Raw genomic sequence first — 24783 nt, forward strand, 5'->3', positions numbered from 1 at the left:
TCCGTGGCCTCATGGCCGCGCGCAATACAACGCGCGCGCACGCCGCCAGAGCTCCGGGTGCTTCCCGGTGAGTTCGCGCGCGCACGCTCCCGCGCTACCGGCACTGGAACTGGGTCTGTGAGGCCCGGGAAAAGCTTAGCCCCGCCCCCTCGCCACGAGAGGCGCCTGCGCACTGGGATCCAGTAAGATTTTTCTCACGCTGTCTGTCCAGCTTGAGTGGCGCGAATGCGCACGCGCCAATTGCGCCTGCGAGGAAGAAGTCACGTGGCAGCCGGAAAGCGTGGCGGCTGCTGCTAGAGCCTTTCCCTTTACCGCACCCAAGGAGCTGGAGCGACAACAACGACGTCGTTTCCGTTTCCACCACCTCTTCCTGTTCCCGTCCTTGAGGACGCCGTGCCGGGTCAGTGTTAGCCTCCAGCCCTGGTTGTGGAAGGCGACAGAAGTCATGGCGATGTTTGAGCAGATGAGAGCCAACGTGGGCAAGTTGCTCAAGGGTATCGACAGGTCTGAGCCCGGTTGGAGGAAGCGCTCTGGCCAAGCGGGGCGGAGGAGAGGGTTTTCCGGAGACAGCAAGGGGTGTTCAGGGTCCTGGGCTTGCCGCGGGGTGGGGTTTCTCTATCCTCCTGGAGGAGGAGATGCTTAAAGAAACGGCACTGAGCTGGGGGTAGTGGCTCACGCCTGTGATCCTAGCACTTTGGGAGGCCGAGGTAGGTGGGTCGCCTGAGCCCAGGAGTTAGAGACCAGCCTGGGCAACAGCCAAACCCCGTCTCTAAAAGAAAGAAACAAAAGCACTGCAAAGGCCTAGAAGCGAGAGAATCTTGGTACCACTCAGTCTCTTCGTAAATTGCCTTAAGGTTTCCTTCTCTGCTCCGCCTCCTTTGAGTGCCTCTTAATCTCTCCCTTCTCTGCTCTATAAGTCATTCATTCTCCACACGTTTACTGAAATAAACTGTCAGTGCTAGGCAATGCTGGGAACCACAGGCGAATCAGACAGCGGCAGATCATGCCTTCACGGTCTGAGTTCCCTTTCCATAAGGGAGACAAACCTGACAGCAGACAGCGATAGCCGGGAGAGATTAGAACTGAAATGGGGGAAGCAAAGGCCAGAGTGTTCAGGTGGACATGGAGGAAGTAGGCAGCGAGGTAGGCAGGAGAGGATGGGGCTGGATCAGGGTGGAGGCCTGAACAGGGGAGGAAGGGGTGAGTAGCAGAGACATTCAGGAGGCCAGGTGTACAAGCTGCAGTGACTGACTGGCTCAGAGGTTGAGGAGGCATCCTAGGGAAGAGCCAGGGCTCCAGTGGAGTTTAGAGCTTAGGCGAGAGGTCTGGGATAAGAATAAGTTTTACTAGAGATTATACTGGACATAATTCACTACCTGGATAGAGCAAGTGGCCAGTGCCAGATTTAGAGGGGAAGGGCGGGAGGAGCAGGTTACAGTGGCCCCTTGCTCCATAAGGTGGCTGGCCTCAGCTTCTGTCTCCTCTGTGCTCACCTATCTTGATTCTCCTTTAGGTACAATCCTGAGAACCTGGCCACCCTGGAGCGCTATGTAGAGACGCAGGCCAAGGAAAATGCCTATGATCTGGAAGCCAACCTGGCTGTCCTGAAGCTGTAAGTGTCTAGCTCTCTGTCTACACTCCCATTGCAGCAACTAGCAGGGTGCCACTCCCAGTACAGGGCAAGGGGGTGGCTGGTAGTATCCTGAACAATGCAGCATCTCTTGGTGTGCAAGACTAGGAAGCCAAGGAAGTTGGGACAGGAGGAGGGATGGTTTTTGAAAAATCAATTGCCGGGCGCGGTGACTCACGCCTGTTATCCCAGCACTTTGGGAGGATGAGGCAGGCGGATCACCTGAGGTAGGGAGTTTGAGACCAGCCTGGCCAACACGGAGAAACCCCATCTTTACTAAAAAATACCAAATTAGCCAGGCGTGGTGCCACATGCCTGTAATCCCAGCTACTCGGGAGGCTGAGGCAGGAGAATTGCTTGAACCCAGGAGGCGGAGATTGTGGTGAACCAAGATCGCGCCATTGCACTCCAGCCTGGGCAACAAGACCGAAACTCCGTCTCAAAAATAATAATAAAAAATCAATTAGGGTGGCCGCAGGGGCTCATGCCTGTAATCCCAGCACTTTGGGAGGCTGAGGCGAGAGACTCACTTGAGCCAAAGAGTTCGAGACCATCCATGGCAACATAGCGAGACCCAACCCTACGAAAAAATTTAAAAATTAATGTAGCGGTGTGTGGCTGTAGTTCCAGCTACTTGAGAGGCTGAGGTGGAAGGATCGCTTAAGCCTGGAAGATTAAGGTGCAGTGAGCCATGATAGTGCCACTGCACTCCAGCCTGGGGGACAGAGTGAGACCCCTCTTTTTAAAAAAAAAAAAAAAAAAAAGAATTACCAATTTGGGTGACATGGCACAACCCTGTCTCTACAAAAATTAGCTGGGCCCAGTGGCGCATGGCTGTAGTCCCAGCTCCTTGGGAGGCTGAGGCAGGAGAATTTTTTGAGCCTGGGAGGCAGAGGTTGCAGTGAGCCAAGATCATACCACTGCACTCCAGCTTGGGCGACAGAGTGAGACCCTGTCTCAAAAATAAATAAAGGTTAATTACAGAACACATGTACAGGCTAATACATTAAGCAAACATGTAGTTTAACAAATCATTATAAATGAAAGCCTACATAATCACCATTTATGTTGCAAAGTTATTGCTAGCACCACAGGCTCTTTGCCCCCTATGCTCTATGCCAACCAATTCCCCTGCTCCCCCATGCTCTCATGGCCTGGCTTTATGTGATGGTTTACTATGCATGCATACATCTGGCTCAGCTCAGCTCAGGTTTCCCTGCTTTGAACTTGATACAGATGGAGTGCATACAGCACAAACTCTTCTGCATTTGCCATTTGCTACTCAGCACTGGGTTTGTGAGATCCATCCAGTGTTTTTTGTTTTTTTGTTTTGTTTTTGATATGGCTGCAGTTTGTTGTCATGGATGTATAGCTCTCCACTGTGTCACTTGTGTGGCTGTCCTAATGATCTCTTCTGGCTCTTGATGGACATTGTGGGTTCTTCGTGCCCTTTTTTTTTTTTTTTTTTTTTTGGAGACAGGATCTTCTGTTGCCCAGGCTGGAGTACAGTGGCACAGTCATGGCTCACTGCATCCTTAGCCTTCTGGACTCAAGTGATTCTCCCGCCTCAGCCTCCTGAATAGCTGGGACTACAGGCATGCACCACCATGCCCAGCTAATTTTACTTGGGTGCTTTCTTTCTTTCCTTTTTTTTTTTTTTTTGAGACAGGGTCTCACCTTCTTGCCCAGGCTAGAGTGCCTTGGCGTGATCTCATGATCTCAACTCAGTGCATCCTTTGCCTCCCAGGTTCATGTAATCCTCCTGCCTCGGCCTCCTAAGTAGCTGTACGTATCGGGGGGCCTGCCCCGATAATCACGTAGGTTCTTTTCTATATTCCTAAGCATTGGCTGGCTTGAGAAATAGAAGGACAGAGTACAAAAGAGAGAAATTTTAAAGCTGGGCGTCCGGGGGAGACATCACACATTGGTAGGATCCGTGATGCCTCACAAGCCACAAAAACCAGCAAGTTTTTATTAGGGATTTTCAAAAGGGGAGGGAGTGTGCGAATAGGTGTGGGCGACAGACATCAAGTACTTAACAGGGTAATAGAATATCACAAGGCAAGTGGAGGCAGGGCGAGATCACAGGACCACAGGATCAAAGCGAAATTAAAATTGCTAATGAAGTTTTGGGCACCACTGTCATTGATAACATCTTATCAGGAGACAGGGTTTTGAGATCAACCGGTCTGACCAAAATTTATTAGGCGGGAATTTCCTCTTCCTAATAAGCCTGGGAACGCTATGGGAGACGAGTTTATTTCACCTCTGCAATCTCGACTATAAGAGACAGGTACGCCCCGGGGGGCCCGTTCAGAGACCTACCCCTAGGTGCGCATTCTCTTTCTCAGGGACGTTCCATGCTGAGAAAAAGAATTCAGCGATATTTCTCCCATTTGCTTTTGAAAGAAGAGAAATATGGCTCTGTTCTGCCCGGCTCACCGGCAGTCAGAGTTTAAGGTTCTCTCTCTCATTCCCGGAACAATTGCTGTTATCCTGTTCTTTTTCCAGGGTGCCCACATTTCATATTGCTCAAACACACATGTTGTGCAATTTTTGTAGTTAACGCAATTATTACAGGGTCCTGGAACGATATACATCCTCCTCAACTGACAGGATTAAGAGATTAAAGTAAAGACAGGCATAGGAAATCACAAGGGTATTGATTGGGGAAGTGATAAGTGTCCATGAAATCTTTACAATTTATGTTTAGAGATTGCAGTAAAGACAGGCATAAGAAATTACAAAAGTATTAATTTGGGGAACTAATAAATGTCCATAAAATCTTCACAATCCACGTTCTTCTGTCATGGCTTCAGCCGGTCCCTCCGTTTGGGGTCCCTGACTTCCCGCAACAGGTACGCACCACCATACCCAGCTAATTTTTGTATTTTTAGTAGAGACAGGGTTTTGCCATGTTAGCCAGGCTGGTCTCGAACTCCTGACCTCAGGTGATCCACCCGCCTTGGCCTCCCAAAGTGCTGGGATTACAGGCGTGAGCCACTGCACCCAGCCTAATTTTTGTATTTTTAGTAGAGACGGGGCTTTGTCATGTTGGCCAGGCTGGTCTCGAACTCCTGATCTCAGGTGATCCGCCCATCTCGGCCTCCCAAAGTGCTGGGATTACAGGCTTGAGCCACCCACCTACCCACCCCCACCGCCACCTTCTGTTGTCCTCTTTTGCAAGGGAGGAAACCGTCAGCCCCTCAGTTTCCTTTCTCTGCTCCTCAGCCTTTCAGTGCCTCTTAATCTCTCTCTTCTCTGCTCCTCGTGTCATAAATAAGCAGTCCAAGGTCACTCAGCAGGGAAGTTTAAACCGAGGCAGTCTGGCTCTGGTTCCTTAGCCACTACTCCAGACCACTGCTGCTGTTCTCATTTGTTTATAAATCACTTAGCAGTGTCTGCCCCATTGGGTAGTTGTGAGCATTAACTGTCCCTGTTCACAGAGGAGAAAGGTAGGCTCAGGGAGGTGAAGGTTACACAGCTGGGAAGCACTGGGACTGGGATTGGAACCCAGGCATGTCCAATTCCCAAACTCCAGAATAAAGCAGCTGCCTGGCACCTGGTGAGGATTGGGGACTTGGAGGTGCCACTGTGGCCACGTCTCTTGTTCTTTTTCTTAGGTACCAGTTCAACCCAGCCTTCTTTCAGACCACGGTCACCGCCCAGATCCTGCTGAAGGCCCTCACCAACTTGCCGCACACAGACTTCACCCTGTGCAAGTGCATGATCGACCAGGCACATGTATCCTTCCAGCACTGGGGCCGGGGGGTGTGTGGGAAGGGGTCAGAGTCAAGGTGCATGAATTCCCAGGGAGATGGTCTGTGGGTGTATCCACAAACAACAAGTGCCTGCTCTGGTCCAGCGTGGCAAGGTGCTGGACAGTGCTGGGACACTGGTGACTGAGACAGTCCTGGGCCCTGTCTTCACAAAGTTGTCGCAGTCCAGTGAAGAGTCAGTGATAGACTGGAGTGGTCAGGGTTGGGTTACAAGAGTCACAGCAGCCGGGCACAATGACTCAGGCCTCTAATCCCGGCACTTTGAGAGGTCAAGGTGGGTGGATCACCTGAGGTCAGGAGTTCGAGACCAGCCTGGCCAACATGGCGAAACCCCATCTCTATTAAAATACAAAAAATTAGCCAGGCACAGTGGCACACACCTATAGTCCCAGTTACTCAGGAGGCTGAGGCAGGAGGATCACTTGAAGCTGGGAGATGGAGGTTGCAGTGAGCCGAGATTGCGCCACTGCACTCCACCCTGGGTGACACAGTGAGACTCTGTCTCAAAAAAAAAAAGAAGAGCCAGAGTAGGCACCTGACCATTTGGGTGGGGGAATATGTGGACATGAACACAGCCATCTGTATTTACATTCTATAGAACAATGTCTGGAAAGGTGGAAAGGTACCCAAGAATTGGAAATGACTGTTACCTCCCAGGAAGGATGGCTGTGAGACAGGGAAGGGAAGACCTATTTTGCCACTGTTCACTCTTCTGTATTTTTAACTAGAAACTATAAACCAGGGCCTCCTGGAGGAGGGAACATCTAAAACATAACGAGTTAGGTGGAGGGGTAGGCAAAGGTGATCCAGGCAGAGAGGACACTCATGGGCTAAAGGAAGCAGAGCTCGGTGCTGTCTTTCAGGAATGGTAGAGGAAGCCTGACATAGGAATGATTTAAGGTGGGTTTTTTTTTGTTGTTGTTTTATTTTATTTATTTTATTTTTTTTTTGAGACGGAGCCTTGCTCTGTCACCCAGTCTGGAGTGCAGTGGCGTGATCTCGGCTTCCTGCAACTTCCACCTCCCAGGTTCAAGCTATTCTGTCTCAGCCTCCTGAGCAGCTGGGACCACAGGTGCATGCATGCTACCACGCCCAGCTAATTTTTGTATTTTTAGTAGAGACGGGGTTTTGCTATGTTGGCCAGGCTGCTCTCGAACTCCTGACCTCAGGTGATCCACCCGCCTCAGCCTCCCAAAGTGATAGGATTACAGATGTGAGCCACCGTGCCCAGCCTATAGGTTTTATTTTATTAGTAATAATAGTAGGGTTTTTTTGTTAATATTTTCTTTTTTTTTGAGATGGAGTCTTGCTCTGTCATCCAGGCTGGCGTGCAAAGGCGTGATCTTGGCTCACTACAACCTCCTCCTCCCGGGTTCAAGTGATTCTCCTGCCTCAGCCTCCCAAGTAGCTGGGACTATAGGCACGTGCCACCACACCCAGCTGCTTTTCGTATGTTTAGTAGAGATGGGGTTTCGCTATGTTGGCCAGGCTGGTGTCGAACTCCTGACCTCAGGTGATCCACCCGCCTTGGCCTCCCAAAGTGCCAGGATTACAGGCGTGAGCCACCAGGACTGGCATGTCATTTCTCATCTTTTGCCATTACAAACAGTCCTGCAGCCAACATCCTTTCTCCTGCATACACCTGCAGGAGAAATAAGCTGGCTTCCTTTTCCAGCTGTTTTTCTGAGCTGAAGCTTTGGAAGAAAGCAGCCAGAAGAAGGTAGGTGGGGAGGGGTGATCTGGGGTCCAACCTTACGCTCCGAGGCCAGTTTTCCTTAATGCTTCCTCCTCCCAGCAAGAAGAACGGCCAATCCGACAGATTTTGTACCTCGGGGACCTGCTGGAGACCTGCCATTTCCAGGCCTTCTGGGTAACTTCCCTGGGGTCCAGGGGCAGGGGAGATGGCAGGGCCATGTGGAGCTGAGTGCTAAAAGTAACAACGGTGCACACTGACTGGCTTCCTGCTTTGGCGGTGGGCCCAGTGCTCTGCATGTGTGTGTTTGTGGAATTATCATCCTCTCGCGGAGCAGGTACTCACAGGTCATCCCCGTGCCCACAGGCTGAGGCCGACCCTTTCCCCTTTCTCCCATCTTTCCACTGAGCCCTCTAGTACACACCGTTGATCAGAAGTCCTCCAGTGGCTGGGTGTAGTGACTCACCCCCGTGATTCCAGTACTTGTGGAGGCCAAGGTGGGAGGATTGCTTGAGGCCAGGAGTTCCAGACCAGCCTGAGCAACATAGTGAAACTTCATCTCTACAAAATTGAAAATTAATTGGGTGTGGTGGCATGTGCCTGTACTCCCAGCTACCCAGGAGGCTAAGGTGGGAGGATCGCTTGAGGCTGCGAGTGAGCCGTGATCACACCACTGCACTCCAGCCTGGGCAACAGAGCAAGACCCTGTCTCAAGAAAGAGAAATTCTCCGTCTCTTCTACCTGTCTGACATGCTCTGCCCTTCTTGCTCTAACTGGAACCTGGCCCCCCACTTCTGCAGCCCCCTAAGTGGGAGGCTAGATCACCTCCTGGCTCCTATCTCTTCTGATACCCTCAGTCTTTTTTGTTGTTTTTTGTTTGTTTGTTTTTTGGTTTTTTTGAGATGGAGTCTCACGCCATTGCCTAGGCTGTAGTACAGTGGCACGATCTTGGCTCACTGCAACCTCTGCTTCCCGGGTTCAAGTGATTCTCCTGTCTCCCGAGTAGCTAGTACTACAGGCACACGCCATCATGCCCAACTAAATTTTATATGTATTTTTTATTTTATTTTGTTTTATTTTTGAGACAGAGTCTCAGTCTTGCCCAGGCTGGAGTGCAGTGGCGCGATCTTGGCTTACTGCAACTGCCGCCTCCCGAGTTCAACTGATTCTCGTGCCTCAGCCTCCTAAGTGGCTGGGGTTACAGGCATGTGCCATCACGCTGGCTAATTTTTGTATTTTTAGTAGAGACGGGGTTTTGCCATGTTGTCCAGGCTGGTCTTGAATTCCTGACCTCAGGTGATCTGCCTGCCTCAGCCTCCCAAAGTGCTGGGATTATAGGCGTGAACCACCACGCCGGGCCAGAAACCCCCAGTTTTGAAGTGTGTGTGTCGTCACTTCCTGCCCGGTATCAGTCCCTCTGGTGACTGCTCTTTGTTTCTTGAAGAATTCAGCCCCTGGCTGGCCACGGTGGCTCAACGCCTGTAATCCCAGCACTTTGGGAGGCCGAGGCAGGTGGATCACCTGAGGTCGGGAGTTCGAGACCAGCCTGACCAACGTGGAGAAATACTGTCTTAACTAAAAATACAAAATTAGCTGGGTGAGGTGGCACATGCCTGTAATCCTAGCTGCTCGGGAGGCTGAGGCAGGAGAATCACTTGAACCCAGTGGGTTCAACCTCACCCAGAGGTTATGGTGAGCTGAGATCATGCCGTTGCACTCCAGCCTGGGTGACAGAGTGAGACTCCGTCTCAAAAAAAAAAAAAATTCAGCTCCTTCTCACTGGCGCTCTCTACCACTCCTGCCCTAATTCTTAGACGCTTAGAAAGTAACACAGAGGATCCTTTGACCACCCAGACCTCTGGGTCCCTTGCTCTCTTGGCCAGCTATCTTGTGCTACACCTGACCTCAGCCCTTCTCTTCCAATCATACCCCAGGCCAGTTCTCTGCACATTAGACCTCTGAGGCATTTATTTTCTTTCCTTTTTTTTTTTTTGTTTGAGACCATGTCTCGCTGTGTCACCCAGGCTGGAATGCAGTGGCACAATCTCAACTCACTGCAACCTCTGCCTGCTGGGTTCAAGCAATTTTCCTGTCTCAGCCTCCCAGGTAGCTGGGACTACAGGCATGCACCACCCCGCCGGCTAATTTTTGTATTTTTAGTAGAGACGGGGTTTCACCATGTTGGCCAGGCTGGTCTCGAACTACTGACCTCAAGTGATCTGCCCGCCTTGGCCTTCCAAAGTGCTGGGACTACAGGTGTCAGCCACCACGCCCGGACCTCTGAGGCATTTTTAAAAATTAATACTGATACTTGGGTCCTCCCTCACAGAGTCTGATGTAATTGCTTCAGTGTAGCCTAGGCCTTGGGATTTTAAAAGGTTACCCTGGGTGATTTGGACATCTGGCCAATGTTGGGAGCCACTGCCGTCACCAATAATGGCTCCCCTCCTCCCTCTGTGAGTTTCCAGCATCTCCATTCTCTGACCGCTTCCTCCTAGCTTCTCAGCTCACCCCCACAGGGTCTCCATCCCCACATTCTTGGGCCTGACCATTAGCTCCAACCCTCTTTCTCTGCAGGCTTCTCTGTTCCGCTTCCTTCTCTTAAATCGCATGTGCTGGCTGGGCATGGTGGCTCACACCTGTAATCCCAGCACTTTGGGAGGCCGAGGTGGATGGATCGCCTGAGGTCAGGAGTTCGAGACCAGCCTGACCAACGTGGAGAAACCCCATCTCTACTAAAAATACAAAGTTGGCCGGGCGTGGTGGCGCATGCCTGTAATCCCAGCTACTCGGGAGGCTGAGGCAGGAGAATTGCTTGAACCTGGGAGGCGGAGATTGCGGTGAGCCGAGATCATGCCATTGCACTCCAGTCTGAAAAAGAGCGAAACTCCATCTCAAAAAAAAAAAAGAGAAAAAATGTCGCATGTGACTCCCCTGTCCCCAGCTGCAGCTACGGTCTTGCTTCCTTCCCCAACTCCTGGATGTTTCCTCATGCTTTATCTGTCTCCCTTTCTTCTCACCTCAACTTATGATCTGGCTTCTTGTCTCGGGAGAAAATGGAAGCAGCCACTGTAGAAATTGCACCTGTTCCTATCCCAGACCCTGACATTTTATGTGCAGCTGACTGCACACTTTTTTTTTTAATTCTTAAACATTTTATTTTTTATTCAAGTAAGAAATTATTGATTAGCTTCAGTTAATCCCACAAAGAAAATGATCAAATGCTTAAAATAATAGAGTTTACTAGTTCTACAACTGTTCTCACTAGCAAACTAGCAAATGAGATGTGTTGGAGATCTTAGACCTATTCCATGGAACAGATAGACAGGTTTTTTTTGTTTGTTTGTTTTGTTTTGTTTTGTTTTGTTTTGTTTTGTTTTGTTTTTTGAGACAGGGTCTCACTCTGTCGCCCAGGCCGCAGTGCAGTGATGCAAACACAGCTCACTGCAGCTTTGACCTCCCAGGCTCAAGTGATCCCCGCACTTCAGCCTCCTGAGTAGCTGGGACTAACAGGCCCACGCCAACACGCCTGGCTAATTTTTCTATTTGTAGTAGAGGTTGGATTTCGCCATGTTGACCAGGCTGGTCTTGAACTTCTGGCCTCAAGTGATCCTCCTGCCTCGCCTCCCAAAGTGCTGGGATTACAGGTTGAGCCACCACGCCCGGCCACAAATCTGGATTTCTGCCCACCTCACTGGCTACACCTTCCCGGCATCCATGTGGGGGATTCCCTCCCTTTTGTTGGAGAGAACCTATACCACAGACCTAACCTTTGAGCAGAAATCTGAAGGAGGTGAGGGTGGTAGCCATGGAGGAGAATTCCATACACAGGCCCTGAGGTAGGCGGGTGTCTGGCGGGTTTGGGGAGCAGCAGGGAAGCCCCTGTGGCTGGAGCAGGGTGAGTGAGTAGCGAGTAGGTGGAGGTGAGGGCACAGAGGTGACAGGCAGATTCTGTGTGGCCTAATGGGCTATGGTAGGAAAATTGGCCTTTTCTCTGAGTGAGACAGAAGCAAGGGGAGGTGGCTGAATACACTTAGCCAATATGTGTCTGCCCCCTTTCTCAGGGCTCTGGTTTCTGCCTGCCAGGTTCAAGCCTCACCTCCAGGATTTTTGGAAAATCATGTAGCTGCCCTGGTCTCCTCATCTCTAAAATGGATATAACTTACATCACATGGCTACACTTAGAAGAATGGCTATAGCATGTGGGGTCAGTGCTCAAAGTGGTAGCTGCTTTTTTTTTTTTTCTGAAATGGAGTATGGCTCTGTCGCCCAGGCTAGAGTGCAGTGATATGATCTTGGCTCGCTGCAACCTCTGCCTCCCAGGTTCAAGTGATTCTTCTGCCTCATCTTCCCAAGTGGCTGGGATTACAGATTTCAGGCATCCACCACCACACCCGGTTTAATTATTTATTTATTTATTTATTTTTTTTTTTTTTTGAGATGGAGTCTCGCGCTGTCGCCCAGGCTGGAGTTCAGTGGCACAATCTCAGCTCACTGCAACCTCTGCCTCCTGGGTTCAAGTGATTCTTCTGCCTCAGCATCCCGAGTAGCTGGGTCTGCAGGCACATGCCACCACACCTGGCTAATTTTTTGTATTTTTAGTAGAGACGAGGTTTCACCATGTTAGCCGGGATGGTCTCGATCTCCTGACCTCACGATCGCCCGTCTCAGCCTCCCCAAGTGCTGGGATTACAGGTTTGAGCCACCACGCCCAGCCAGCCTAATTTCTGTTTTTTGTTTGTTTGTTGTTTTTTGTTTTGTTTTGTTTTGAGACAGAGCCTCCCTCTGTCGCCCAGTCTGGAATGCAATGGTGTGATCTCGGCTCACCACAACCTCCATCTCCTGGGTTCAAGCGATTCTCCTGCTTCAGCCTCCTCAGTAGTTGGGATTACAGGAATGTGCCACCACGCCCTGCTAATTTTGTAATTTTAGTAGAGTCAGGGTTTCTCCATGTTGGTCAGGCTGGTCTCGAACTCCCGACCTCAGGTGATCCGCCCGCCTCAGCCTCCCAAAGTGCTGGGATTACAGGCATGAGCCACTGTGCCTGGCTGATTTCTTTATTTTTAGTAGAGACAGGGTTTCACCCTGTTGGCCAGGGTAGTCTCGAACTCCTGACCTCAAGTGATCCACCCACCTCAGCCTCCCAAAGTGCTGGGATTATAGGTGTGAGCCACCACACATGGCCTGGTAGCTGCTATTCTTGTTAACATTACTGAAGGGGTGGGTTGCCCCTCCACACCTGGGAGTGTTTCTCGTTAGGTGGAATGAGAGACTTGGAAAAGAGACATAGAGACAAAGTATAGAGAAAGAGAAAAGGGGGCCCAGGGGACCGCGTTCAGCACACGGAGGATCCCACCGGCCTCTGAGTTCCCTTAGTATTTATTGATCATTATTGGGTGTTTCTCGGAGAGGGGGATGTGGCAGGGTCATAGGATAATAGTGGAGAGAAGGTCAGCAGGTAAACACGTGAACAAAGGTCTCTGCATCATAAACAAGGTAAAGAATTAAGTGCTTTGCTTTTGATGTGCATACACATAAACATCTCAATGCCTTGAAGAGCAATATTGCTGCCCGCGTGTCCCACCTCCAGCCCTAAGGCGGTTTCCCCCTATCTCAGTAGATGGAACATACAATCGGGTTTTACACGAGACATTCCATTGCCCAGGGACGGGCAGGAGACAGATGCCTTCCTCTTGTCTCAACTGCAAAGAGGCGTTCCTTCCTCTTTTACTAATCCTCCTCAGCACAGACCCTTTACGGGTGTCGGGCTGGGGGACTGTCAGGTCTTTCCCTTCCCACGAGGCCATATTTCAGACTATCACATGGGGAGAAACCTTGGACAATACCTGGCTTTCCTAGGCAGAGGTCCCTGCGGTCTTCCGCAGTGTTTGTGTCCCTGGGTACTTGAGATTAGGGAGTGGTGATGACTCTCAAGGAGCATGCTGCCTTCAAGCATCTGTTTAACAAAGCACATCCTGCACCGCCCTTAATCCATTTAACCCTGAGTTGACCCAGCACATGTCTCAGGGAGCACGGGGTAAGGTTACAGATTAACAGCATCTCAAGGCAGAAGAATTTTTCTTAGTACAGAATAAAATGGAGTCTCCTGTGTCTACTTCTTTCTACACAGACACAGTAACAATCTGATCTTTCTTTTCCCCACACATTACTGATAAGAACGTTGTTGATAGGTAAGATTACCAGTGTAGGCTGGGAGTGGTGGCTCACCCCTGTAATCCCAACGCTTTGAGAGGCCAGCGTGGGCAGATCACTTGAGCCCAGGAGTTTGAGATCAGCCTGGGCAATATAGTGAGACCTCGTCTATGTAACAACAGCAGCAACAAAATCTTAGCACTTTGGGGGGCTGAGGCAGGAAGATCACTTGAGCCCAGAAATTCAAGACCAGCCTGGGCAACGTAGTGAGACCCCATCTCTATAAATAAATAAAAATAAAAGCAAATAATTTAAAAGAATAAACATTGTGAACATCAATTCCCATCACAGCAAGCCCTGGATGAAAACATGGACCTCTTGGAAGGTATAACTGGCTTTGAAGACTCTGTCCGAAAGTGTAAGTCCCTCTCTGAGGCTGGGCTCCCCAAGGGGAAGGGGTAGGGAGTGGCAGCCAGGTCCGGGGGGACAGCTGCTCACCGGTTTTGTCTCTGACCTCCACAGTTATCTGCCATGTTGTGGGTATCACTTACCAGCACATTGACCGCTGGCTGCTGGCCGAGATGCTCGGGGATCTGTCGGGTAACGCCCTCTGGGTCCTGGTGCACATCTGGGAGGTTGGGGGTGGCTAGGGCAGTGGACCTCAGTCAGCTCCTCCAACAGGCCTGTCTGGGTCTCATCAGGTCAGCATGGAAGGCCCAGCCCAAGGAGGAAATAAGAACTTGGTATAAGACAGTCTCTGCCTTGAGGGAGATCCTATGCCATTTGCTCATTTATTTTGCATTAATTGAGTGCCTACCGTGTGTCAGTGTGCTAAACTGGGCGTGCAGCAGTAAACAAAGTGGGATGGCTCCAATTCATTCTCATGGAGGTAGCAAAGCACATGGCGACATGGAGGTGTCCAGTGGTGATTCCTGTCATGAAGGAAAGCAAGACAGCTCACAGACCAGCGGCATCTGAGCCCTTACCTCCGTAGAGAGAGGCCCGTGGCCTGAGGTAGTGCAGAGGAGGATAGTAGAGCAGGGCCCTGACTTGTAACGTTCATGGGTAGCCAGGGTGTATGTGGCCAGAGCAGAGTAAGCATGGGCGAAAGTAGAGAGCTGGGGGTTGGAGGGGCATTTCCAGGTCATGTGGGGCCTCGGGAGGACCTTGTCCTTTCCCCTGACTGAGAAGGAGCCACCGGAGGGCTCTGAGCAGGGTAGGGCTCTGATCAGATGGATATTTTTTAAAGATCCCCCCAAGAACAAAAAAAGAAAAAATAACTTATTTGCTTACTTTTGTAAAAAGAAACGTAGAAAAGGAAGTCAAGAAACTAAGGAAGGCCGGGTGCGGTGGCTCCCGCCTGTAATCCAGCACTTTGGGAGGCCGAGGTGGGCGGATCATCTGTGGTCAGGAGTTCGAGACCAGCCTGCCCAACATGGTAAAACCCCCTCTCTACTAAAAATACAAAAAATTGCTGGGTGTGGTGGCGTGCACCTGTAATCCCAGCTACTTGGGAGGCTGAGGCAGGAGAATTGCTTCAACGCAGGAGGCGGAGGTTGCAGTGAGCTGAGATCGCACCATTGCACTAGTGATAAGATCGAAACTCCATCTAAAAAAAAAAAGAAACTAAGGAAGGCCACGTGTGATGGCTCATACCAGTGAGGGAGGCAGATCACGTGAGGTCAGGAGTTCGAGACCAGCCTGGCCAACATGGGGAAACCCCGTCTCTACTAAAAATACAAAAATTAGCTGGACGTGTTGGCATGTGCCTGTAATCCCAGCTATTCGGGAGGCTGAGGCAGGAGAACCGCTTGAGCCCAGGAGCAGAGGTTGCAGTGAGCCAAGATCACACCACTGCATTCCACTCTGGGCACTTTTAGTAGAGAAGGAGTTTGACCATGTTGGCCAGGCTGGTCTTGAACTCCTGACCTCAAGTGATCTGCCCACCTTGGCCTCCCAAAGTACTGGGATTACAGGCGTGAGCCGCTGCATCCAGCCAAGTAAAAGCTAACTTTTTTTTTTTTTTTTTTTTTTTTTTTGAGGTGGAGTCTGGCTCTGTCACCCAGGCTGGAATGCAGTGGCATAATCTCGGCTCACTGCAACCTCCTCCTGGTTTCAAACAATTCTCCTGCCTCAGCCTTCCAAATAGCTGAGACTATAGGCCTCTGCCACCTCGCCCAGCTAATTTTTTTTTTTTTTTTTTTTTTAGCAGAGATGGGGTTTCACCACGTTGGCCAGGACTTGGCACGGTGGCTCACACCTGTAATCCCAGCACTTTGGGAGGCCAAGGTGGGCGGATCACCTGAGGTCGGGAGTTCGAGACCAGCCTGACCAACATGGAGAAACCCCATCTCTACTAAAAATACAAAATTAGCCAGGCGTGGTGGCGCATGCCTATAATCCCAGCTACTCGGGAGGCTGAGGCAGGAGAATTGCTTGAACCTGGGAGGTGGAGGTTGCAGTGAGCCGAGATTGCGCCATTGCACTCCAGCCTGAGCAACAAGAGCAAAAACTCCGTCTCAAAAAAAAAAAAGTGTATTGTTTCTGGTAATGGTCATGTTATAATTTTGCAACCGTTTCATATAGGTTGTGGGAAAAGGTAGATAAATACGCTGCTCTTGTTAGGAACCAAAATTTGCCCAGGGAGAGAAAACAGAGGAATAGAAATTAAGGCAGAAGCCCCACGATGAGGCTGAAAGAGCTCACAGGCTCCCTCTGGCGGCCATTCAGAGAATGACCCGTGGAAGGGCAGGGGCGGAAGCAAGGAGACCAGGCCAGCTGCTGCTGTCCAGGAGATGTCAGTGGGCAAGGGGGGCTGCCCTGGCTTCCTGAGCCATGACTCTGTTGCCTCTCAGTCCCCTGGAACTGTGGGATCAGGCTGACTGAAGCCCCTTGCTGCCCCTGTCACCTGCAGACAGCCAGCTAAAGGTGTGGATGAGCAAATACGGCTGGAGTGCCGACGAGTCGGGGCAGATCTTCATCTGTAGCCAAGAAGAGAGCATTAAACCCAAGAACATTGTGGAGAAGATTGACTTTGACAGTGAGTGGTGACCCACGGCCTCGGGCTTTGGGGCTAAGGGGGTGCCCCTCAAGGGAGGCCGAGGCAGGGGCCCAGAGGACCTGGGTAGATCTGCTCGTGTTCTGGGCTGGGAAGTCTGCACCTGCCAGATTCCATTCACCTTGTGTCTTGGGGCTCCCGCCCAGGAGGAATAGCGGGGAGCTGGGTGATCTTCCCTGGAACTTCTAGGCCCTGTGTCCTGCCCCATAGCACTCAGCAAGACTTCCTGGGGCCCAGCGGGGCCTCACAGGGGGTCTCTGCACCCTTATTTGTCCCTGAGGCCTGTCTCGTTGGCCATCTTTTATTCTTGGGGTGCCCAAGCCTCATGTGCAGACTTGGAATCCGGTGAACAGTAGGAATCTTGATTCTCTAGTTTGGGTGATTCCACATTTTTGTGCCTCAGTTTTCTCATCTAAAAAATGGGGACGACTGCAACAGTAACTATGATAAACACTGTGTAGGTCCTTACACTTACATCATTTGATCCTCAGTTGCTAAATGATATAAATAGTATCATACCTACCTCATGGCATCATAAGTGTGAATGCATGTATAACACTTAGCAAAGAGCTAAGTGACCACACAGTTCATTAAATGTTCATTATGACCATCGTCTACACACATGTAACTAACACAGGCTCAACTGCTTGCTCAACTAAAAAGATTGCAGTGGCTACTCCGGCAGCGGGTGCTGCTTCACTGCCGCTCATCATGGCACTGAGCAGATGTCCTGGAGCCAGGGAGAAAGGCACAGGCGGGCTGCTGCCTTCATCCCGGGTCTCCCCCACCCGCTTGAGTGTGATTCAGGTGTTTTAAAGATGTGTTTGGTACAACGTGGTTTCTTAACACAAACCAGCTAATTTTGTACTTAACTGGGGAACAGCATTGAGCAGGCAGCCATCTGCGCACTTGCAGCCCGTGGTATCTCACCTCTAAACGCCGCGTGACTGCTGTGTCGGGGTTCTCAGTGAGAACTCCAGCAAAAGATTCTGTAGTGAGGAAAGGGCCTCCTTTCTTCTCCCCTTTGGCTTCTGTTGCCCCACCCCACCTTCCTGACCTTTTAGGTCACAGGTGGAGAGGGCAGTGCTGAGTCAACAAGGAAAAGGAGGAGGAAGGTGTGAATCTCAGGGAAGTAGGAGCCCAGCCCTGCCGGGGGAGTAGACGGGAGGGTTCCCTCTGTCTCAGTTCTGGCTCCATTGCTCTGTGTCCTGGGTCAAACAGGATAGGTTCAAAATACTCAGGAGGCTGAGGCAGGAGAATCACTTGAACCCGGAAGGTGGAGGTTGCAGTGAGCCAAGATCGCTCCACTGCACTACAGCCTGGGCAACAGAATGAGACTGTGTCTCAAAAAAAAACTTAAGAGTATCCTGCAAATAGTACCTAGTAAATATTATCATGTAGGTAATTACAAACAACACTTCCTTGGCACTTTGTTCTAAGCACCTCGTTTGGTCCTACAATCCTATAAGGTAGGTGCTTCTTAAAGATAGGAAGGTAGGTGATGCTCAGAGATGTTCAGTAACTTGTCCAAGTGACCCAGCTGTTAATTGGCAGAGCTGGGATTTGAACCTAGCCCTCCTTGCTCCAGAGTCCATCTTTTTAAAATACTGCACCAAACTGCCTTTGTGATGGTAACTGGGGCCTGGAAGGAGTTTATGATCTCCCCCTAAAGAATTGTGGGTGCTGTAGCAGGTGGCTGGAGGTTTGTCTCCCGCCCTTCTCACCTTCAGTCTGGTCTCTCCTTCCCCACAGGTGTGTCCAGCATCATGGCCTCCTCCCAGTAACTTCAGGTGTTTAATAAAGATGTGTTGACTCAGCCCTACTGTCTCCTCCCTGGCTTCCTGCCTCTGCCCCTTGCCCACCAGAGGGAGCTCAGGAGCAGGCCTCTGCTCTGGGTTGGCCCCCGCACCGTACCCCCAGCCCCCACCACACCACACCCCATGGCGGGGTTTCCGCCTCCTTTTTCCCCTGCTTCGACTTCCTCCCTTGCCCCACCCTACCTTCCTGACCTTTTAGGTCTTGGGTGGGGAGGGCAGCATTGAGTCAGCAAGGAGGAGGGAGTATGAATGGGATGTGGCAGCCCAGCCCTGTGGTGGAGGCTGAGCACCTCTGGGAGGAGTGAAGGTGAAGTTTCCCTCTGTCTTGATGGTGGCTCTTGCTTTGTGACCTTGGTCAAGGGACTGTGCCTCTTTTTTTTTTAGACGAAGTCTCGCTCTGTCGCCCAGGCTGGAGTGCAGTCGCGCGATCTCGGCTCACTGCACGCTCCACCTCCCGGGTTTATGCCATTCTCCTGCCTCAGCCTCCAGAGTAGCTGGGACTACAGGCGCCCGCCACCATGCTCGGCCAATTTCTTGTATTTTTAGTAGACAGGGTTTCACCGTGTTAGCCAGGATGGTCTTGATCTCCTGACCTTGTAATCTGCCTGCCTCGGCCTCCCAAAGTACTGGGATTACAGGCGTGAGCCACCGCGCCCAGCCGGGATTGTGCCTCTCTAATTCTCAGTTTCTTCATCTGCAGAAGGGGAAGAATAATGCACCCTTCTGAAACCTGTGAGGGTTTCTCCGGCCCTTGCCAGTAAAGGCCTGAGATTGGGGCCTGTCCTGTCCTGTCCTTGCTCTTAGAAAATGTGAGCCACAGGCCGGGTGCAGTGGTTCACGCCTGTAATCCCAACACTTTAGGAGGCCAAAGCAGGAGGATTGCTTGGCCAGAGTTTGAGACCAGCCTGGGCGACAGAGTGGGACTCCGTCTCAATATATATATATATATATATATATATATTTTTTTTTTTTCTTTTTCTTTTTCTTTTTTTTTTTTTTAGAGACAGAGTCTCACTCTGTCGCCCAGGCTGGAGTGCAGTGGCGCGATCTCAGCTCACTGCAACCTTTGCCTCCCAGGTTGAAGCAATTCTTCTGCCTCAGCCTCCCAAGTAACTGGGACTACAGGCACACACCTCCACGCCCGGCTAATTTTTTTGTATTTTAGTAGAGATGGGGTTTCATCGTGTTGCCCAGGCTGGTCTCGAACTCTTGGGCTCAGGCAGTCTCCCTGCTTCGACCTCCCAAAGTGCTAGGAATACACACGTGAGCCACCGCGCCTGACCAAAAAGTTTATTTTAAATAGCTAGGCATGGTGGCGCGTGTCTGTAGTCCCAGCTATTTAGGAGGCTGAGGTCGGCAAATCACCTGAGCCCAGGAGGTCAAGGCTGCAGTGAGCTGTGATCACACCACTGCACTCCAGCTTGGGTGACAGACCCTGTCTCAAAAAAGAAAATATAAGCCATTGTTAATTTCAGGCTCAGAAGTGTTTGTCACCAAGGTTGCAAGCTAGTCCTCAGTACTATTCTGTATGGAGAGACTTCATGAGAAAATTAGTATATATATATTTTTTCCTCTCAAGGTGTCATAGGTAGACAGCTCCTTCAGCCACACCATTCTTTCCAAGTCGCATGCCGCTCCCCTGGTTAGTGTTACCTGACAGGAGACCTGACTCACCTTACATGTTCATTCCCTTCTTACCTGAGGAATTTGGGGCACTCCCAGTGGCCCTTAGGCAGTGCTTTTCCCCTGTGAGCATATTGCCTGGAGGGCTAGGGGGTTGGGGGAATGCAGGAATTAAAAAGACCCAGTAGAGGCTGGTTTATGCCTGTAATCCCAGCACTTTGGGAGGCTAAGGGAGGAGGATGACTGGAATCCCTCTACGCAAAAGTAAAAATTAGCTCAGGTTGGGCATGGCGGTCCATGCATGTAATTCCAACAGTGGGAGGCTGCAGCAGGAGGATTGCTGAAAGCCAGGAGTTCGAGACCAGGTCAACAAAGCGAGACCCTGTTCCTATAAAAGTTTTAAAATTAACTGGGCCTGGCCAGGCACAGTGGCTCACGCCTGTAATCCCAACACTGGGAAGCCAAGGCAGATGGATTGCTTGACCTCAGGAGTTCGAGGCGAGTCTGGGCAACATGGTGAAACCCTGTCTCTACAAAAAACTACAAAAGAAAATAGCCAGGCATGGTGGTACACACATGTAATCCCAGCTACTCTGGAGGCTAAGGTGGGAGGATCACTTGAGCCTGGGAGGCAGAGGTTGCAGTGAGCCAAGATGGCGTCACTGCACTCCAGCCTGGGTAACAGAGTGAGACCCTGTCTCAAAAATAAGTAAGTTGGCCAGGCGCGGTGGCTCACGCCTGTAATCCCAGCACTTTGGGAGGCCGAAGTGGGCAGATCACGAGGTCAGGAGATCGAGACCATCCTAGCTAACACGGTGAAACCCCGTCTCTACTAAAACTACAAAAAAATTAGGCAGGCGCCTGTAGTCCCAGCTACTCTGGAGGCTGAGGCAGGAGAATGGCATGAACCCGGGAGGCGGAGCTTGCAGTGAGCTGAGATCGCACCACTGCACTCCAGCCTGGGCGACAGAGCTAGACTCCGTCTCAAAAAAATAAATTAAAAAAAAAAAGTAAGTAAGTAAAAATTAGCCAGGCACAGTGGTATGTGCCTGTAGTCCTGGCTACCCAGGAGTTTGAGGCTGCAATGAGCTATGATTGCACCACTGCACACCAGCCCAGGTGACAGCAAGACCCTGTCTCCAAAAAAGGAAAAGAAATGCCCTAATAGATGTTCATTACTTAGAGTAGACTGGCAGCTGCCCCTTGGTGATTTATTGATGGATGCTGGTGTGCATAAGCGTTGCCTTGGAGAGGGCAGCTGTGGTACCCAAGCTGCCAGCCGGCCTGACCTCCCTGTGTGCACTCACAGCCAGCATTCCTCAGAGGGCCCTGCCTGTGGGAGCAGACACCCCTTGCCCTGGGGCCCAGACCTCAGCAGGGCCCCAGTAGCCAGGGAGTGCCTAAATCCTGGGGACTGAACAAAAGTGTGCCTCTGCAGCTCACTGGGATAAAAAGGACTGGGAGGCCTGGCACAGTGGCTCATGCCTGTAATCCCAGCACTTTGGGAGGCCGAGGTAGGCAGATCACCTGAGGTCAGGAGTTTGAGAACAGCCTGACCAACATGGTGAAACCCCGTCTCTACTAAAAATACAAAATTAGCCGGGCGTGGTGGCGGGCGCCTGTATTCCCAGCTACTTGGGAGGGTGAGGCAGGAGAATCGCTTGAACCCGGGAGGCAGAAGTTGCAGTGACCCGAGATCGCGCCATTGCACTCCAGCCTGGGCAACAAGAGCGAAACTGCCTCAAAAAAATAATAATAAAAAGGACTGGGATGCCTCTACCACCCATGAACTTGGGCACATTAGCAAAAGGCACCCCTTCTGGGTGGGGACAACTCCCAGTTACCCACTTGGCAGGTGCCCTTATGCAGGATACAACCTGCACAATTGGCCATGGCTGCTCTGCAAGGGAAGAGGAAATGACCTTTTTCCCCTCCTCTGGGAGCCACATCTCATCCTGCCTCACTGGGCTGCTTTCACTATCAGAGGGTCATTCATACTCCGAACAGCTAGGAGGTGGCTCTGGAGAAAAACTGCCTGAGTTCACTCCCCAGCCCAGCCGCCTCAGGGTATGTGAGTTGTCTTCTCTGTACCTGTTTTACAGCTGGGGAAAGTAGTAATTGTACCCACGTCAGTAGTTAATGCCTGCAAAGAGTTTAGAACAGCTTGGTGGGTGCAGTGGCTCACGCCTGTAATCTCAGCACTTTGGAGGCCAAGGCGCGTGGATCATCTGAGGCCAGGAGTTCGAGACCAGCCTGGCCAACGTGGTGAAACCCCACCTCTACTAAAAATACAAAAATTAGCTGGGCTTGGTGGCGGGTGCCTGTAATCCCAGCTACTCAGGAGGCTGAGGCAGGAGAATAGCTTGAACCAGGGAGGTGGAGGTTGCAGTGAGCTGAGATCACGCCATTGCACTTCAGCCTGGACGACAGAGTGAGACCTTGTCTCAAAAAAATAAGCTGGGCGTGGTGTCTCACTCCTATAATCCCAGCACTTTGGGAGGCTGAAGTGGGCGGATCATGAGGTCAGGAGTTCAAGACCAGCCTGTCCAATATAGTGAAACCCCATCTCTACTAAAAAACACAAAAATTAGCTGTGTGTGGTGGCGCATGCCTGTAGTCTCAGCTATTCGGGAGGCTGAGACAAGAGAATCGCTTGAACCCGGGAGGCAGAGGTTGCAGTGAGCCAAGATCATGCCATTGCACTCCAGCCTGGGCAACAGAGTGAGACTCCGTCTCAAAAACTAATAATAAATAAATAAATAATAAATTAAAAAATAGCCGGGGCGCAGTGGCTCATGCCCGTAATCCCAGCACTTTGGGAGGCCGAGGCGGATGGATCAACTGAGGTCAGGAGTTCAAGATCAGCCTAACCAACATGGAGAAACCCCGTCTCTACTAAAAATACAAAATTAACCAGGCGTGGTGGCGCACGCCTGTAATCCCAGCTACTCGGGAGGCTGAGGCAGGAGAATCACTTGAGCCTGGGAGGTGGAGGTTGGGGTGAGCCGAGATCGCGCCATTGCACTCCAGCCTGGGCAACAAGAGCGAAACTCTGTCTTAAAAAAAAAAAAAATAGCCAGGCCTGGTGGCGCGTGCCTGTAATCCCAGCTACTCAGGACACTTGAGGTGGGAGAATTGCTTGAACCCGGGAGGTGGAGGTTGCAGTGAGCCAAGATTGTGCCACTGCACTCCAGCCTGGGTGACAGAGCGAGACTCCATCTCAAAATAAATAAATAAATAAATAAAAATAAAAGAAACTCAAATTGGTTCTGTCTCCAAATTCCATCCTGGTGGGTGCTTGTCATGCTCACTTGGGGTTCAGGGCTGCTGCTCCAGCTGCTTCCTGAGACATCTCTAGACATTGCAGTATTTGTTCATGTCCCCGCCCTGTGAGGACACACCCTCTCTAGTTGCCTTCCCTGAAGTAGTGTTAACAATGGGATACAGCATTTAATAAATTCTGACTGAGGTCTCACGGGTTCAATGGTAAACCTAAAAACGCCTGTAGGGCCCACTGGCCATACCCCTTCTCTCAGAGCCCCTCCTGGTCCCTTGGACATCAATAGACACATCAGCTATTATTACTACACTGCCCATAGATGGCTGCCAGGAAGTAGCCTCAAGGCTGACAATTAAAGGGAGGCTTTAATTTAAACTTCAATGGCTGGGGCTGTCGCCTCCATCTGGGAGCACTTGGTCTGGACGGTTTCTCAGAGTCCACCAGGAGCTGCAGCGAGGGGCAGATGGCCCATCCCCTGAGGAGTTTTTCCCCCAGGCCAGACCATGCATAAGAGTCCTGAGCTAGTTCTTCAAGTCAGGCTGGAGGAGACCGCCCTGCCCTGCCCCACTCCAGCCCAGCTCTGGAAACAGCCAACACGCCTGGGGGTCTTTGGCCAGGTCCTGGCATCTCCTAGGACATCGGGCTGCTGCCTGGGCCTCGTCCCCTTCCTCTGCTGTCACTGGATCCATCCCTTCGCGTTCCTTTGGCAGAGGCAGAGAAGCAGAGAAGGATCCTTGCAACTCCCATAGCTGGAGAAACCATAAACCATGGTGGTTGGTTTTTTTTTTTTTTTTTTTTTTTTTTGAGACAGAGTCTCCCTCTGTTGCCCAGGCTGGAGTGCAGTGGTGCGATCTCAGCTCACCGCAACTTCTGCCCCCTGGGTTCAAGTGATTCTCCTGCCTCAGCCTCCTGAGTAGCTGGGACTACAGGCGCGTGACACCACACCCAGCTAATTTTTTGTATTTTTAGTAGAAACGGGGTTTTACCATGTTAGCCAGGATGGTCTCGATCTCCTGACCTTGTGATCCGCCTGCCTCGGCCTCCGGAAGTGCTGAGATTACAGGCGTGAGCCACCGCACCTGGCAATATTTTATTTTATTTATATTTTTGAGACAGGTTCTCACTTTGTCACCCAGGCTGAAGTGCAGTGGTGCGATCTCAGCTCACTGCAACCTCGACCTCCTGGGCTCAAGTGATCCTCCTGCCTCAGCCCTCCAGGTAGCTGGGACCACTGGCATGCAACACCACACTTGGCTAATCTTTTGTATTTTTTGTAGAGACAGGGTTTCACCATGTTTGCCAGGCTGGCCTTGAACATCCCATGCCCGATGGGATGATATTTTAAATCAGGTGATCCGGGAAAGTCTCACTGAGGATGTGGTATTTCCACAGAGACCTATAGGAAATGGGGCTGTGAGCCCTAGGGACTCAGTGTCTGGGGAAAGTGTTCCTGGGAGTCGTGACTCCACCTCACAAGTACAAAGGCCTCATCAGAGGCTGAGTTTGGCACCTGGTGTGCTTGAGGGACAGCAAGGTGGGGGGTACTCGAAGGCTTTTTTTTTTTTTGAGACAGTCTTGCTCTGTCACCCAGGCTGGAGTGCAGTGCCGTGATCTCAGCTCATTGTAACCTCCACCTCCCAGGTTCAAGCAATTCTCCTGCCTCAGCCACCCGAGTAGTTGGGATTATAGGCGTGCACCTCCACACCCGGCTAATTTTTGTATTTTTAGTAAAGACGGGATTTCATTATGT

At 51.0% G+C, this 24783-nt stretch overlaps 1 protein-coding gene across 3 annotated transcripts, besides 11 other annotated features; it reads left to right on the plus strand.

Annotated features, from left to right (window-relative positions):
* Window positions 1–364: 364 nt before the first annotated feature.
* On the plus strand, window positions 365–18131 carry EIF3K (eukaryotic translation initiation factor 3 subunit K). Of its 3 annotated transcripts, none has more exons than NM_013234.4 (8): window positions 365–504; window positions 1514–1612; window positions 5254–5374; window positions 7205–7279; window positions 13607–13673; window positions 13778–13855; window positions 16170–16295; window positions 18066–18131. In NM_013234.4, the coding sequence occupies exons 1-8, from the start codon at window positions 446–448 to the stop codon at window positions 18095–18097; spliced, it is 657 nt and encodes a 218-aa protein (NP_037366.1). In that variant the 5' UTR covers window positions 365–445; the 3' UTR covers window positions 18098–18131. The 3 variants fall into 3 exon arrangements, with proteins under 3 accessions (NP_037366.1, NP_001295322.1, NP_001287921.1); NM_001308393.2 differs by having other exon boundaries at window positions 365–494; NM_001300992.2 differs by lacking the exon at window positions 13778–13855.
* Window positions 3397–4257: an enhancer, noted in NCBI's record as "NANOG hESC enhancer chr19:39112860-39113720 (GRCh37/hg19 assembly coordinates)". NCBI's record gives its function as "activates a minimal SCP1, AML or CMV promoter by ChIP-STARR-seq in naive H9 embryonic stem cells {active_cell/tissue: H9 hESC(naive)}" and the evidence as "EXISTENCE:reporter gene assay evidence [ECO:0000049][PMID:30033119]".
* Window positions 4904–5405: an enhancer, noted in NCBI's record as "H3K4me1 hESC enhancer chr19:39114367-39114868 (GRCh37/hg19 assembly coordinates)". NCBI's record gives its function as "activates a minimal SCP1, AML or CMV promoter by ChIP-STARR-seq in naive H9 embryonic stem cells {active_cell/tissue: H9 hESC(naive)}" and the evidence as "EXISTENCE:reporter gene assay evidence [ECO:0000049][PMID:30033119]".
* Window positions 12352–13143: an enhancer, noted in NCBI's record as "OCT4-NANOG-H3K27ac hESC enhancer chr19:39121815-39122606 (GRCh37/hg19 assembly coordinates)". NCBI's record gives its function as "activates a minimal SCP1, AML or CMV promoter by ChIP-STARR-seq in primed H9 embryonic stem cells {active_cell/tissue: H9 hESC(primed)}" and the evidence as "EXISTENCE:reporter gene assay evidence [ECO:0000049][PMID:30033119]".
* Window positions 13144–13935: an enhancer, noted in NCBI's record as "OCT4-NANOG-H3K27ac-H3K4me1 hESC enhancer chr19:39122607-39123398 (GRCh37/hg19 assembly coordinates)". NCBI's record gives its function as "activates a minimal SCP1, AML or CMV promoter by ChIP-STARR-seq in primed H9 embryonic stem cells {active_cell/tissue: H9 hESC(primed)}" and the evidence as "EXISTENCE:reporter gene assay evidence [ECO:0000049][PMID:30033119]".
* Window positions 13144–14390: a biological region, named in NCBI's record as "CDK7 strongly-dependent group 2 enhancer GRCh37_chr19:39122654-39123853".
* Window positions 13191–14390: an enhancer, noted in NCBI's record as "CDK7 strongly-dependent group 2 enhancer chr19:39122654-39123853 (GRCh37/hg19 assembly coordinates)". NCBI's record gives its function as "activates an origin of replication core promoter dependent on BRD2, BRD4, P300/CBP, MED14 and CDK7 cofactors, with strong dependence on CDK7, by STARR-seq in HCT116 cells {active_cell/tissue: HCT116}" and the evidence as "EXISTENCE:reporter gene assay evidence [ECO:0000049][PMID:35650434]".
* Window positions 15819–16777: an enhancer, noted in NCBI's record as "H3K27ac-H3K4me1 hESC enhancer chr19:39125282-39126240 (GRCh37/hg19 assembly coordinates)". NCBI's record gives its function as "activates a minimal SCP1, AML or CMV promoter by ChIP-STARR-seq in naive H9 embryonic stem cells {active_cell/tissue: H9 hESC(naive)}" and the evidence as "EXISTENCE:reporter gene assay evidence [ECO:0000049][PMID:30033119]".
* Window positions 15881–15930: an enhancer, noted in NCBI's record as "active region_14580". NCBI's record gives its function as "activates an Ori minimal core promoter by ATAC-STARR-seq in GM12878 lymphoblastoid cells {active_cell/tissue: GM12878}" and the evidence as "EXISTENCE:reporter gene assay evidence [ECO:0000049][PMID:35858748]".
* Window positions 18022–18961: an enhancer, noted in NCBI's record as "H3K27ac-H3K4me1 hESC enhancer chr19:39127485-39128424 (GRCh37/hg19 assembly coordinates)". NCBI's record gives its function as "activates a minimal SCP1, AML or CMV promoter by ChIP-STARR-seq in naive H9 embryonic stem cells {active_cell/tissue: H9 hESC(naive)}" and the evidence as "EXISTENCE:reporter gene assay evidence [ECO:0000049][PMID:30033119]".
* Window positions 18395–18534: an enhancer, noted in NCBI's record as "active region_14581". NCBI's record gives its function as "activates an Ori minimal core promoter by ATAC-STARR-seq in GM12878 lymphoblastoid cells {active_cell/tissue: GM12878}" and the evidence as "EXISTENCE:reporter gene assay evidence [ECO:0000049][PMID:35858748]".
* Window positions 20842–21780: an enhancer, noted in NCBI's record as "H3K27ac-H3K4me1 hESC enhancer chr19:39130305-39131243 (GRCh37/hg19 assembly coordinates)". NCBI's record gives its function as "activates a minimal SCP1, AML or CMV promoter by ChIP-STARR-seq in primed H9 embryonic stem cells {active_cell/tissue: H9 hESC(primed)}" and the evidence as "EXISTENCE:reporter gene assay evidence [ECO:0000049][PMID:30033119]".

This window comes from Homo sapiens, chromosome 19, assembly GCF_000001405.40.
Source record: "Homo sapiens chromosome 19, GRCh38.p14 Primary Assembly".
Lineage (NCBI taxonomy): Eukaryota > Metazoa > Chordata > Mammalia > Primates > Hominidae > Homo > Homo sapiens.

What these genes read in the sequence shown, in the direction of transcription:
- EIF3K (NM_013234.4), top strand. Translation starts at nt 446, where the DNA reads ATGGCGATGTTTGAGCAGATGAGAGCCAACGTGGGCAAGTTGCTCAAG. An exon ending in TTGCTCAAGGGTATCGACAG is followed by an intron (nt 505 to 1,513) that starts GTCTGAGCCCGG and finishes ATTCTCCTTTAG; the next exon opens with GTACAATCCTGAGAACCTGG. An exon ending in TGAAGACTCTGTCCGAAAGT is followed by an intron (nt 13,674 to 13,777) that starts GTAAGTCCCTCT and finishes TGACCTCCACAG; the next exon opens with TTATCTGCCATGTTGTGGGT.